The 14,991-nt window shown below is 44.6% G+C and overlaps 1 pseudogene, besides 3 other annotated features; it reads left to right on the top strand.

The window, feature by feature from the left end:
• Positions 9,429-9,929: an enhancer, noted in NCBI's record as "H3K4me1 hESC enhancer chr6:29782799-29783299 (GRCh37/hg19 assembly coordinates)". NCBI's record gives its function as "activates a minimal SCP1, AML or CMV promoter by ChIP-STARR-seq in primed H9 embryonic stem cells {active_cell/tissue: H9 hESC(primed)}" and the evidence as "EXISTENCE:reporter gene assay evidence [ECO:0000049][PMID:30033119]".
• Positions 9,930-10,430: an enhancer, noted in NCBI's record as "H3K4me1 hESC enhancer chr6:29782298-29782798 (GRCh37/hg19 assembly coordinates)". NCBI's record gives its function as "activates a minimal SCP1, AML or CMV promoter by ChIP-STARR-seq in primed H9 embryonic stem cells {active_cell/tissue: H9 hESC(primed)}" and the evidence as "EXISTENCE:reporter gene assay evidence [ECO:0000049][PMID:30033119]".
• Positions 11,390-12,270: an enhancer, noted in NCBI's record as "H3K27ac-H3K4me1 hESC enhancer chr6:29780458-29781338 (GRCh37/hg19 assembly coordinates)". NCBI's record gives its function as "activates a minimal SCP1, AML or CMV promoter by ChIP-STARR-seq in primed H9 embryonic stem cells {active_cell/tissue: H9 hESC(primed)}" and the evidence as "EXISTENCE:reporter gene assay evidence [ECO:0000049][PMID:30033119]".
• MICG (MHC class I polypeptide-related sequence G (pseudogene)) lies at positions 12,259-12,561 on the top strand (annotated as a pseudogene).

Raw genomic sequence — 14,991 nt, 5'->3', positions numbered from 1 at the left:
GAGGCTGAGATCAGAGGATCCCTTGAGCCCAGGAGGTCGACACTGCAGTGCATGGTGATCATGCCACTGCACTCCAGCCTGGGTGACAGAGCAAGACCCTGTCTCAAAAATAGTAATATGATGATGATAAATTTAGAGCAAATGCAAATTAATGTGTAATAATACATCCTCTCTTGTGAAAATGTATTAGTTATTTACTATTGTGTAACAAATTATGTAAAACTTAGCAGCTCAAAACAACAAATATTCATCATCTCCCACAGTTTCTAATGGTCAGGAATCCAGGAGCGGTTTTCCTGAGTGCTTCTGGCTCAGGGCCTCTCACAAGGTTGCAGTCCAGTTGTCAGCCTAGGGCTGCATCGTCTGAGGGCTTCACTGGGGCTAGGGATTCATGTGAAACATGGCTTAGTCACATGGCTGTTGGAAAAGCCTAGTTCCTTGCTGTCTGGTCCCAGGGGGCCTCAGTTCTTAGCCACATGGACCTTCCTGCAGGGCTGCTTATGGCACAGCAGCTGGGTCCCCAAGAGCTCATGATCCCAGAGACAGAGAGAGAGAAGGTGGAAGCCATAGTGAGTTTCACATTCTACACCCAGAGTCACAAACTGTTATGTCAACATTACTCTATCAGTTAGAAGTTGTATTAGTCTGTTCTCACACTGCTATAAAGAAATACCTGAGACTGGGTAATTTATAAAGGCAAGAGGTTTAGTTGACTCACAGTTGTGCATGGCTGAGGAGGCTGCCCCAGGAAACTTACAATCATGGCAGAAGGGGAAGCAAACATGTCATTCTTCACATGGTGGCAGGAGAGAAAAATGCAGAGTGAAGTGGGGAAAATCCCCTTATATGGTACATATACACCATGGAATATTATGCAGCCATAAAAAGGAATGAGATCAAGTCCTTTGCAGGGATATGGATGAAGCTGGAAGCCATTATCCTCAGCAAGCTAACACAGGAACAGGAAACCAAACACCACATGTTCTCACTTGTAACTGGGAGCTGAGCAATGAGAACACATGGACACAGGGAGAGGAACATCACACACTGGAGCCTATTATGGGAGGGCAGTGCTGAGGGGAGCATTAGGAAAAATAGGTTCAACCGCTGACTTCCACAGCTTGGGGGAATCATCCCCATGATTCGATCACCTCCCATGAAGTCCCTCCGCCAATATGTGGGGATTAGAATTCGCATGACAATTCAAAATGAGATTTGGGTGGGAACACAGAGACAGGCCATATCAGAAGTGCATCATTAAGTCCAAGCCACACTTAAGAGAGGGAATTAAGCTGCACCTCTGAAAGAGAGCTGTACTAAAGGACTTACGTATATGTTAAAAGCAAAATTAAAACTATTGTTTCAGGATTTTGTAAATCAAAGACTTCTTTTATCTAATTATTTTTCTTTAATGCTTTAAGCTTATCTTTTAATTTAATTTAATTTAATTTAATTTTAAGTTCCAGGGTACGTGTGCAGGATGTGCAGGTTTGTTACATAGGTAATCGTGTGCCATGGTGGTTGGCTGTACCTATCAACCCATCACCTAGGTGTTAACCCTGGCATTCATTAGCTATTTTTCCTAATGATCCCCCCATCACTGCCCTCCCCGAACAGGCCCCATTGTGTGTTTTTCCTCTCCCTGGTTCCATGTATTCTCATTGCTCAGTTCCCAATTATAAGTGAGAACATGCGGTGTTTGGTTTTCTGTTCCTGTGTGAGTTTGCTGAGGATAATGGCTTCCAGCTTCATTCGTATCTCTGCAAAGGACTTGATCTCATTCCTTTTTATGGTTGCATAATATTCCGTGGTGTATATGTACCATATTTTCTTTATCCAGTTCCTCATTTGTGGGCATTTGGGTTGATTCCATGTCTTTGCTATTGTGAATAGTGCTGCAATGAACATACACATGCATATACCTTTATAATAGAATGATTTATATTCCTTTGGGTATATAACCTTTAATGGGATTGCTGGGTCAAATGGTATTTCTGGTTCTAAATCTTTGAGGAATTGCCACACTGTCTTCCACAATGGTTGAACCAATTTACATTTCCACCAACAGTGTAAAAGCCTTCCTATTTCTCTGCAACCTTGCCAGCATCTGTTGTTTCTTGACTTTTAATAATTGCCATTCTGACTGGCATGAGATGGTATCTCATTGTAGTATTGATTTGCATTTTTCTAATGATCAGTGATGTTTAGCTTTTTTTCTTATGTTTATTGGCCACATGTATGTCTTCTTTTGAGAAGTGTCTGTTTAGGTCCTTTGTCCACTTTTTAATGAAGCTTTTTTTTTGGTGTAAATTTGCTTAAGTTCTTTGTAGCTTCTGAATATGAGACCTTTGTCAGGTGGACAGACTGCAAAAATTTTCTCCCATTCTGTAGGATGTCTGTTCACTCTGATAATAGTTTCTTTCACTCTACAGAAGCTCTTTTGTTTAATTAGATCCCATTTGTCAATTTTTGCTTTTGTGGCAGTTGCTTTTGGCATTTTCATCATAAAATCTTTGCCCATCCCTATGTCCTGATTGGTATTGCCTAGATTTTCTTCCAGGGTTTTTATAGTTTTGGGATTTACATTTAAGTCTTTAATCCATCTTAAGTTAATTTTTGGGCAAGGTGTAAGGAAGGAGTCCAGTTTCAATTTTCTGCAGATTGCTAGCCAGTTCTCCCAGCACCATTTGTTAAATAGGGAATCCTTTGCCCATTGCTTATTTTTGTCGGGCTCATTGAAGATCACAGGGTTTTAGATGTGTGGTCTTATTTCTGAGTTCTCTATTCTGTTCCATTGGTCTATGTGCCTGTTTTTGTACCAGTACCTTGCTGTTTCAGTTACTGTAGCCTTGTAGTATAGTTTTAAGTCAGGTAGCCTCATGCCTCCAGCTTTGTTCTTTTTGCTTAGGATTCTTCTGGCTATAGGAGCTCTTTTTTGGATCCATATGAATTTTAAAATAGTTTTTTTCTAATTCTATGATAAGCTTCACTTTTTAAATTAATGACTAAAAGTTTGAGACATCACAGAGCCTTAGGTGTTGAGGGGAAAACAGTTTGAGGCAGAGAAAGGAGATACAACAGTATCTCTGAGTTTTTCTTGCCAATATCTTTAATAACAGCAATGTTCTCTTCAATGAGTTAACACAGTTGAGAACATAGAATAACTAGATCAAATAGTTCCAAGACTTTAGTGCTATAAAAATAATGCCTTGAAAATAAGTCTTTGTTTTGTCTAAAATGTCTCAAATTTAGGGGAAGTATGCCCCTAGTGCCAGTTTTCTTATTGAAATATCGTCTTCCAAAAAACATTTGCCTACACTTAAAAAAAGAAGTACTGCTCTGTCTCTGGAGTAGCCATCCTTTGTTTCTTTCTCTAATTAACTTGCTTTCACTTAGAAAAATATTGCTTAATCAGATTGCTTTTCATTTACAAAGATGTGAATCTCATACTTCAGTCAACACATCTAGCATGCCAATAACTTCGGTTTGATGCAGTATCACGAAATTGTTAGCTCGAATTGAGAAACTAGTTTTTTCAATAACTGGCTATTCGATCAGCATTCTATAATACACTTAACATCTTTTGTTGTGATATTGAATGATATGTGATAGAAGTGATTTGGACACCACTATGATTCTAAATAGCATGCCATCAGGTGCTTCTGAAGTGGTTTTGTTTGTTTCTTTGTTTTCGCAGTCCTATTGTGTTTTCTATTCATATTGCTATTCCGTCACTGGTTATTCCTTTCTACTCTTTTCTTGTTTCATTTATTTTGATCAATGATGTGCATTTCCAATTCTGTAAAAGTTTAATTCAGTGGTATGTGTGGTAGAATGTAACATCAAATCCTTTGCAAGATGGAATTACCTTGCACATCAGATTGAAGATTGTATACATGAAAATCTACAGAGATGCCAGTGAGCCAAGGATCAAATGACCTATTTGTAGCCAAAGCCGTTTTCATGGCCTCGTGGTCCTCTCTGTCACATGGCTCCTTACAATTCTGTGTGGTTTTGTTCCAATGTAAGTAGTTCTTGTTAAGGATGCTTGCAATGAACTTTGGTATTCTTTTCTCTTTCATTTTTATAAAAACCAAGCATATTTTACTTTGAAAAAATCTGTTTAAGGAATTAGGAATTTAAGTCAATTCTTTCAACTCAATGTTTTCAGAACACATCATCAACATCAAGTATTACACATTTATTTTAAAAGTTCCATTTTAAAAGGGAATGGATGATATGTTGTTTGGACTTTAGCCAGCACTGTTGTAAAACACAGAACCTGTAAACTACCCTGGGCTGCTGCCCATTCACATCCCCCAAAAGGAGACTCCATCCTGAGTCTTGTGATTATTATTCCTTTATTTAGATGTGTGGTCTTATTTCTGAGTTCTCTGTTCTGTTCCATTGGTCTATGTGCCTGTTTTTGTACCAGTACCTTGCTGTTTTCATAATATCTATAAAGAAATTATAGAGTTTCTTTAAGGATTTGTGTAATAAGTATAGATATATCCCCAATCCAAATATTAGTTAGTTTTGATGGTTTTTAAGCTTCCAGTACAGCAAATTCCTACTGCATTTATTTTCCCATGATGCACATTACATATAGGAGTTATCTGTGGTGTGGGAGGCTGTCATTCATTCGTTTTTACTGCTGAAGGTTTACATTTTATGGTTATACCATAATTGCACTAGTTTTCTATTGATATATATGTAGCTGATTCCAGTTCTTGCCATAAACATTAGTGTGCATGTCTCCTGGGCACATAGGCAAGAAAGCCCGCAGAGTGTATGATTAGGAGTGGGATGATTGGATGATATGTTATATGGCCTTTAACCATACTAGATAATAATAATATGATTTCCAAAGTGATTGTGCCAACTTAAACTTATTTATTTATTTATTTATTTATTTATTTATTTATTTATTTATTTTTGAGACGAAGTCTTGCTCTGTTGCCCAGGCTGAACTGCAGTGGTGCTATCTTGGCTGATTGCAACTTCCACCTCCCAGTTCAAGCAATTCTCCTGCCTCAGCCTCCCGAGTAGTTGGGATTACAGGCATGCACCACCACGCCCAGCTAATTTTTGTATTTTTAGTAGAGTCGGGGTATTGGAGGCCGAAAGAATGAGGGTCGTGATCAACTCAGTATACCACTGGAGGCTATATGAGCAAACAGCAAACTGTTCTCATGAAAGCAGGATGTTGGCAAACTGACAAACTGAGTTTGCTGCCAGAAGGAATCACTAGAAGCAAGAAGCCCCCGACCCCTTCTTTTAGAACAGATCTTTTTGTCTTTGTCTTTATTTCTGTGTTCATCCCCCTTCATTATATCCCATAGTAACCGATTGCGACAATGGGGTTTTACCATGTTAGCCAGACTGGTCTTGAACTCCTGACCTCAGGTGGTCCACCCACCTCAGCCTCCCAAAGTGCTGGGATTACAGGCGTGAACCACCACGCCTGGCTTAAACTTTTGAAATAAGTGCGTAATACTTGATGTTGATGATGTGTTCTGAAAACACTGAGTTGAAGGAATTGAGTTGAAAGCCGCTGTCTTGGCTGCAGAATTATAGCAGGCATTTTTATTTAGATTCTGTCAATAACTTTCTGTTGTTTACTTGTTTCTCATATACCGTGGCATTGTACTTTTGGCATACAGATTCAGAAAATGCTTACTTATAGCACAATCACATAGGGTTATTTTATATGTTAGGAAATTTTCATAATAAAAAGGAAAAAATGGAGGAAGGGAGGGAAAGAAGGAGGAAGAGAAGAAGGAGTGAAAGAAGAAAAGAAGGAAGGGGAAGGGGAAGAAAAGGGAAGGAAAGCAGAGTAAAAAGGAGGGAAGGCGAGAGGTTGAATGGAAATAGAGAAGAAAGAGAGGGAGGGAGGGACAGAAGGAAGGAGAAAGGGAAGGAACAAAAAAGAAAAGAAACTAAAATAAAGAAAAGAATACACGTTGAGAAACTAGAAACCCTACGTATGGCCAATATTATGAAAATGGAAGGAAATAAAGCAGATGTACGTAACCTGTATAGAATAATGGAAATGTAAGAGGGCTTCATTAGTTATCCATTGCTGCATAACAAACTACCCCCAAATTTAGTGATTAAATCAACAAACATTGACGAACTCAAAAACATAATACAAATACCAGCAAAATGGAGCCAACGCAAGTAGAAGAAGTTGAATAAACAAAAGGATTTTACAAATTGGAATAAGAGGACACTGGTGTGTAGATGAAAATGATTTTGTAGTCCAAATCCTCCAAAAAGCAAGTGCCATCATGGGGTTAAAGTTACAGCATTTTATTAGGGGACATACCTGTCAGACGATATTGTGAGGGAGTCAGGTTACCCTGGGAAAGGCAACAGGCCGAGATGCAAGTGTGACCCCCAGTGATGGACAGAAGGAGAGAAGGTTTACTGGATGTTTCCTAGACCACAGGCAATCTAAGGAGAGTTGAGCAAGGCCATGGAGGAGACCCGGAGCCACCATTGGCCATCAGAGGAGTCCCCTGTCTCCCAGGAATGTCCTGCCTTAGTGTCACTGGTGTGAGCCATCACTGACTGGGAACAGCCCATGGGAAGCAGGGCCTCCATACCAATGCTACTGAGGATGTCAGAGCACAGGAGCAGGGCCTTGGGAGATTACCCAGGAGTGTGACTCAAACCTGCTGCCCAGATGGGTCTGGGTTCTTGGAAATCAAATCCTCTCAGGCTAAATTGCTGGATGATTCTGCTCACACTTACAATGGGGCAAGGGGACCCAGAAGGTTCCCAGGTGGATGTCTGGTTTCCACACACACTTCTGCCCTCATTGTGTGAAAGCAGCCATGCCTCCTCCTGGGGATGAGGGCCTATTACCTGGGCCTGGAGAGAAGGACACTCCTCTTCTCACGATGTGGTCTCTGGGAACATGCTCTCCAAACTTCTCTGGTGACTAAAGTAATGTGTAGTTCAATGGGCTCTCTTTTGTCTACTTTTAAGGGTACCCTCCTTTGGAAACCAGGACCTCCTAACCCGCACAGCCCATTGTTGGGAGATAAAAAAGGCAAAATACCTTAGTGGATGAATCTAAGAGATTGGACATGGAGCCATACCTGCTTCCACCTTTTGATTTCTGGACCTACATGTTCTTCCATTGAGAACACAGCACCATAGAGACATCTCTGATTCAAACAATGTACCATGTTCTGAAAGATGGCACTTTCAGAGTGCTTCCTCCAGGCTGGCACTGAGTTGTGCCTATAGAAGACCTGTCCAGCATTCCTTGTGGCTGGTAGCTCCTGGGTGGTGCAGATGGTGATAGGATTAGTGGAACCCACAGCCATGGAAACTTTAAAACTTTCCAGGCCAAATGGGTCCTTCAGGCAGAGAATGGGCTAGGAGCACCGCCTAGCCTGCAGATCAGGAATGTCAACAGCACCCGGAGAGTGGTGCTGGCTGAGTGTCAGAGCAAGACAGGAAAACCCACCCATGGAATATGGGCCTATTTCTGTGAAGATGAACCTCTGGCCCTTCCAGGATGGAAGTAGCTAAATGTAGTCACTTGTTACTTAGTGGCTGGTCGCCTAAAGAAATAGCGCCCCACTAGGGCACATCATGGGCTCCAAATGCTGACGAGTTGACATTCAGGAGTGGCAGTAGCTGGATCTACCTTGGTAGGGCTGGGAGAGTCAGTGCTGCTGGCCTCATACATAGCCTCATGCCTGCCACTGTGGTTGCTCCATTCATGCACCCATCCTACCAGGCCTGGGCTGACCCATGGTGAAGGCTGGCTAACTGCCATTTGTCTGTTTGGTAGTTCAGTGCCACTTCAGACTTGGGTGTTTTCTGTGGGTGTCAGCAAGGGATTCAAGCTCAACCCAGGTGGACCATTTTCACCTGTTGATGAATGCTGTTGGGCCTGTGCAATTTATGACTTTGTGGGTCACACAGCCACTTGGAACCACATTGTTGTTTGGTGTCCCATGGTCAAGCATTCTATCAAATCAGGACAAGTAACACTAAATGTTGCTTCTAACAGGGGGCATATGTCTCTGCTGTGGATGACATGATCTTACTCCAGAATCCCAGGCCCTTCATTGTGACTCTCCCACTGGTGCTTGGTTCAGCTCCATCCTGCATCTTTCCCCACCACTGGCACCACCAGCCCCAAGGGGTCTGAGGGATGCTGGCTGCTTGTACCATGGCCTGGATCTGCTGCAAGGTCCTTTCCTGTGTGGGCCCCACATGAAGGTGGCCTCCTCCTATGTCACCTAGAGTGTGGGCCAAAGCAACACACCTAAATGTGGAATGTGGTGTCATCAGAACTCAAAGAGGCTCATCAGGCAGTGTGCTTCCTTCCTTCTGGTGAGGATGCAAGATGAAACAGTTTGTCTTTTACCTTGGAGGGGACACACCTGCATTCCCCTAAACACTTGGCACTTGTTCACCCATAAAACTTCACTTCAGTGGCCACTCTTGAAGCTCTGTAAGGTTTACCTTCACCTTCTGGAGTGTGCTTGTTTTGCCAAGGACTCCAGTGCAGTTTCTACCTGCTGCTCATCCACCCCAGTAAACATGAAATTGTCAATGAAATGAGCTGATTTAATATCCTATAGGATATCCAGTATGTCTAGTGTAGTCTTAAGACTATATACTATAGCGGGCAGAGGAGTTACAATAGCCCTGAGGCAAATGATAAATAAATGTGTTGTGGATCCCACATGAATGTGAATCATTCCATATCCCCTTTCTAATTGGAGTGGAAAGGAATGCACTCACCAAGTCTGCAGCTGCACACTGTGGGCCCAAGGATTTATTAATCTGCTCTACCAGTGATATCCAGACAACATAAAAGCTGCAATTATAACTCCTACTTGGCCATACCTAGAGTAATCTCATTCATTCTTTAGGCATCATCAGGCTCCCTCAGGGACAGTTTGCTGGATTACGTAGAGACGATAGACAGCCCCAACACCACCCCACATCCTTCAGCTCTCTCATGGTGATGTGACCCCCACAGTACTTTCAGTGCCTTCCACAAGACACATGAGGTTGCCTGGTTGCTGTGGTGCCCGCTTTCCACCCCACCCTCCCGTACCCCCATGTCACTTTCATTGTGTCCTGAATAACAGTTTCAAGTTTGTCTATGGCTTCTGCGAGGAGCCAGGACATCCAGATAGAATGGGCCACATGAATCAATTGGTACGTGTTTCTCCTTTCAGGCAGAGTCTCACTCACTTCACACAAGCACAGAGATCCCCATATAGGCAACTAGATTATGAGAAACAAACGCACCCATCCAAACCCAAAGAATGGACTCTGAGACCCAGAGAACAGCAAAAGTGAGAGTGTTAGTGACGGTTTTGCAATATTGGGTGTCTGGAATGCAGGCACACCAGGGAGAGTTTCAACAATTTATTCCCTAGTGCGCAACTCCCTCCCCCAGTTGCTCATTAGCTGAGTACCAAGGACTTACGATCTTCCCGGATGTCACCTATTGGTAGTTTAAGACTTCAAGTATGTTCCTTAGGGTTTTGTTTTTTTTTTTGCTGCATTTTGTTGCAGCCCATAATGCATTGTGATTGTCTCAGGACTCTTTAAACATTTGACTTATGTCCCTAATGGCTGCACTTAGTTGATAAGAAAGGGTACAATTATCTATGTTGCAAGCTAGCCTAAACTACATTTTTTGGTGAGGTGGGGAAGGGGTCGTTGAGGGGGCCCCAACCGATAGGTGCCTGGCCAGTGCATGAAAGGGAAAGCAAGAAGTAGGGGGGATGGTGGCTTAGTACATTTTCCTTCTTTATCTCTTTATGACCATGTGGCCTGCTTAAACCTATACTAAGGCACATAGAATTGAAAATGAACCATCACATGTAGGTTATTTTTTACACCCTTAAGTCCTGCCCAAGCCAGGGCTGGGCCAAGGCCCTCGAACATCCAGCTGTGGCCTCCTCCTGCTGCAGGTGAGGAGTGGGCAGCAGGGAGGGCCGTGGTGCCTGCTTTGTCCCCATCCCGGTCTCTGTCTCTCAGGCTTACCAGGTCGCATCCAGGTGGGTGAGTTGGGAATTGCGTGCTGATTGCTGAGGGCCTGGATGATCACTATCTCAGAGGGAGCAAATAGTAAAGGCAGATGTGATCTAGGGAGGGCTAGAAACTGGAGAGGAATCCAAGGAGAGGTGGTGCCTCTAGTCCCTTCCTCTCTGCATCCCCCTCCCCTGTTTCTCCAGCCATCAGGAGGACATCAAGAAAAAGACCCACGAGGCCCAGAATGAGGGCCCCCATGTGTACAGCCCCTTTGAGGTCCCCTTGTAACAGGGAGAGTCCTGAGTGCACATGGCCATCCTCTGTCCACTTTGCAGCTCCCCATATGCCTCATCTGGGAGCTGTCTCAGGGGTGTCACGTCCTCTGGGTCCCTCGAGACCGTGCTTTTTCTGGGTTCCCACCATATGGCCCCTGTCTCCCTGTGTTTCCTTGCAGATAATATGGACCAGTTGATAAGCAGATGTCCCTGGGCTATTTGGGGAGTGGGGACCAGCCCTCTGTCAGGGCAGCTGTGGTCCCTGTTTTCATCCCATGTCCAGGTGTTACTTTTTCCAGCCCCCGAGGGTCATAGTACCCAGTGGGCTGTTTTTTGGGCTTTGTTCTGTGCTCTGTGGCCTCACCTTGCCTTTCCTGAGCCAATGTTTTTGTTCTTAGTGTAGTCGCTGCCTGGTAAGTTTACAATAAGAGACAGTCAGAATCATTTCCCCCACAGTCAGGTTGTTTGAGGGGAGAGGAAAAGAGCAAGCAGAAAGTTTTGAGTTTCTGCAAAGACAGAGGCAGTGCAGGGGACAGTGAGAGTCTGGGGTGTCCAGGAAACCCGAGTCTTTCTGCCATTTCTCCACTTCCGTGTGTCTGGCCAGTGAGGTGGTGGTGACTCATCCTTGAACCTAATTGCACAGTTAGTTGGCCACTCAGGCCTGGGCAGATGGGACGGTTCATCCCCTGCCCTGCAGCAAGAGGGCCCCGTCCAGGAGGCAACCACAGCACGGGCAGTGCAGGTCTGTGGTTGCTCCTGCTCTCACCTGCGGTGTCTCCTATAGAGGGATTGTCAGTTCTGGTTCCCTGTAGGCAGGAAAGGTTTTCTCGTAGGTCACTGGGACATTGGCCAGAAAAAGGCATGAAAATTACATGTTAGTTTCTCAAAATTCCTGCTTTAAGTATTGGTGTCCATCAACATAATTTCAGCTGGATAATCTTAATAGGATTTCCCCCAATACTGATGTTGTAAAGGATGTTGAATAGAACAGGAAGTCAAATTTGGGGCTTCGTTTCTCAGAGGGTCCATGTGGGAGACAGTGCCTGTGGCAGTGGCAATCCCCAGGTGCAGAGGGTGCGTAGAGGCAGCCTCAGGATGAGGGGTCTGAAGAAACCCCCTACTCCACAGGCGAAGAAGATCCCCTGTGAGCTGCGATGGCAGTGGCCTGGGTGGAATCCCTGTTAGGAATGGGACAGGAAGGGCTTGCAGCCTCACCAAGCAGCAGCCCTGGGGTGGAGCTGCATTTCCAGGGTTGAGTGGACAGGCAGGAGCAAGCACAGCCCAAATGCAGGTTATGGGGAGGGCAGGCTGGGCCTCCTTGAGCAAGGGGGTCCCCAGCATCAGGTCAGGTGCAGACTCCATGGCAGCCACATATTTCCATGCAGGGCCTGTGAGCCCCAGGGCTTCCTGATAGGATCTCTAGTTAGGAGCTGTCTGCTCAGAGCTGGGAGGGGAGGAACAGTGAGCTGCTGGTGGAGGGCAGAACCCACAGCGTGCAGGGCCTGCCCTGGTATGCAGGTGCCTCTGCAGGTGAAGAGGGCCTGGGGTCTCAGGAAGAGAAGGACTGTGTGTGACTTGGCCCAGACCTGGAAGGACATGGAGACAGGGCCAGGGCCTCTCTTTGGGGAGGCCTCTCACTGTGTCAGGGCTGGTCAGGCTTGAGAGGAGGAGGAAAGGGCACTGAGTTTCCTCCTGGGTCTTGTTCCTTAGTCCTGGGTCCTTTCACTCACTGCACAATGGATGGTGGACACAGGGCAGGTGCTGATGTTGATGGAGTCACGGGAGGGGACTGGCAGGGGCTGGAAAAGTGCGATGGGAGGGAGAAAAAAGTGGGGACGTCATCTTCCGTCAGAGAAAGGGTAAATCTGATTTGGGAGTGACTGAGGAGGGAGAACTCCTCAGGGAATAAAAAGCAGCACTCTGCACCCAGGGGAGCATTTATTGGTTTCTCTCTTTTTTCCAGAGCGCGTGAGCCTGCAAGGCCTGGGTCAACACCTGGTTGGGACAGGAGACCACCAGGGCAGTGCACAGCTGAGATCTCAGTCTCTGGTGTCAGCTCCTGGGTTCGCTGGCTCCACTGAGGGCAACTAGACTCTGCAGCCAGGCGATCTGGATTCAACTCCTTGCCTAGGCCTCACCAGCATGTTCTCTCTTTGTGCCTCATTTTCCTCATCTATGACATGGGGAAACTACGAGCATTTATTTCTTGTGGTTGGATGAATGAAAAGGGTTAGTATATATGGGGTATTTGCAGCTGTGCCATATTATTTTTGTTATTTTGTTATTTTATTATATTTTGATATATTACATATGCAGTAATTGTATTATTATAGGTGAGCATTATGAGTGAGTGTCCTGCTGATGGCTCCTTGGTCCTGGCCCAGCACCAGCTTTCCTGGCACCTTGAGGTCCTGTCATCTCTGTCATGCTCTCCTGCATTACCCCATTCTACTCTGTCTTCATATTTTATACTATAGATATTTAACTCTTAAATAGACATTTCTGGTCTGCGTTTTATTTCAAGTGTCTGGGAAGGGATAGTGTGAGGTTCAGGAGAGAAGGAGAGGTCTGTCTCCATGCTTTGACACAGCATAAAGAAACCTTCCCTCCTCCCCCACATCTCCCCGCCAGTTCTCAGTGAGGGACAGATTCACAGCAACACCGAAAGGGCTGGGAAGGGATGGGGGGACATTTGCAGCCAGTGTTCAGGGGCTGACCCTGTGGGGCAACATCTTCCCTGCAGAGTTAGAGCCCACATATGATGATGTAGAGCTGAAGGGTGATATCAGGGAGGGGAAGGAGAGTGCTTTGTGGTTTCCTGATTACGAAGAGTAGAGGTCAGTCAGCTTCTGGGGTGAAGTGACTGCTGGGGAGATTGGATTGAATTAATGAAGAATAAGTGAGCTGGGATTGAGGATGAGTAAAGCAAGCATCAGCATCTCCCGCCATCAGTTCAGACTGACTGGGGAGGTGGGATAGTTCCTGACCTTGTTGTGTGGTTCCTCCTAACTTCCTGGTCTTGGGGACACAGATGGGTGGTGCTGTTCTTGGTCAGGGCAGCCTCAGCTCCATCCAGATAAAGCAGTGGTGGCAGAGAGAGTTAGGGGAGCACCTGTGAAACAGACCAAGGCAGGGATGGGAGCCTTCTGTGCAGCCAGAGTGGATGCAGGACCTGCCTGGATGCAAGAGAAGGATGAGGGACCCTAGCTGGGTCCTGTTCCCTGACTCCCTGTGTTCACAGGGCAACCAGTAAGGGAGCTGGGGTAGGGAATTCATTCATAAGCTATCTATCTAGAGATGTGTTTATAGACATATTATTTCATGTTTGTATTCAGGTTTGTTGTCACAGACACATTTATCCATGTGTGTTTTATGTTTAAGTTACTTTGGAATAGCTCAGTCACAAAATCTTAATCTCTTAATTTGTGCTGCCTCTCTACACGGAAACACACACACAGGTGGACACACACACACAGGCACACACACACATTCACACACATGCTATACAAACATGTCTACCTGTATCTATAAAGAAACATGTTATGTTATTTTATTTTTTATTTCTTAGATTCATATATATTCATGAGGCACAAGTGCAATTTTGCTACATTGCTATATTGGTTGTGGTAAAGTCAGGGCCTTCAGAGCATCCAGCACTGGAGACAAGCACATTGTACCTATCAAGAAACCCCTCTATTATACACCAACTGCCAACCCCCTTACCCTTCTGGGTCTCCATGGTCCATCATTTCACACTCTCCTTTTATGTATATAAAGAGATATTAACCAAATACGGCAGAGTGGTAGCTTGAATTTTACCGCACCATTCTTTCAGCTTCTTTGCACATTTGAAAATTTATACAGTTATAAGTTGGAAGAATGAGGGAAAATAGAGAGCAAGACAGTGCTGAATAGGAATAGGCTAGGGGTTGTGTCCCACTAGGAACCATAATTGATCTTTGCCATTTTGAAAGTGTGTCCCCTGAGCAGCCTTCAGAGAGTCCTGGAGGCAGACTTGTTTTCACAGTAATACCAAGATGCCATCTGCCTGTTTCATTGTGTTGACTTTTCCATAGTGCTGCAAATGCCAAGGTCGGTAACACACCCAGCACCTTAGCAGAACCAGGCAGTGGCTCCAAACTGCAGTCCCATTTAAGAGTGTCTTTGATGGAGCAGTAAAAAATTTATGTGGATTAAAGTTTGATCCTTGAGTATACGTGTTTAATATTCTTTGTGAGAAAATGGGAAATATGCATAAAACACTTACTGCACAGAGAAGCAGGATGGTAGCCTTGAGAAAGGGCACTTGTGTGACTCAGTTATTATTTCAACCAGCAGATCTCACTCACCTACGGAAAGACAGTTGTATTAATTCCTGTTTGGGGGTATCATGAATAAAGCTGCAAGAGTATTTGTGCACAGGATTTTCGTGAACATAAAGTATTCCCTCGTTTGAAATAAGTGCCTAGGAGGGCAATTGCTAGTCATAAGGTAAATTGCATGTTCGGTTTGAAGAAAACTACAATACTCATTTCCAGAGCGGCTGTACCATTTTAAAATACATCCCTACCAGCAATATAAGAGTGTCCCAGTTCCTCTGCGTCCTTGCCAGCATCTGTTGCTACCTTTATTTTGTATTTCAGCCATTCTCATCACTGTGGTTTTAATTTGTATTTTCCTACTGGATAATGATGTT

This window comes from Homo sapiens, chromosome 6 (assembly GCF_000001405.40).
Source record: "Homo sapiens chromosome 6, GRCh38.p14 Primary Assembly".
NCBI lineage: Eukaryota > Metazoa > Chordata > Mammalia > Primates > Hominidae > Homo > Homo sapiens.
The sequence above is the reverse complement of the archived record's forward strand: the minus strand, read 5'-3'. Positions and strand labels throughout refer to the sequence as shown.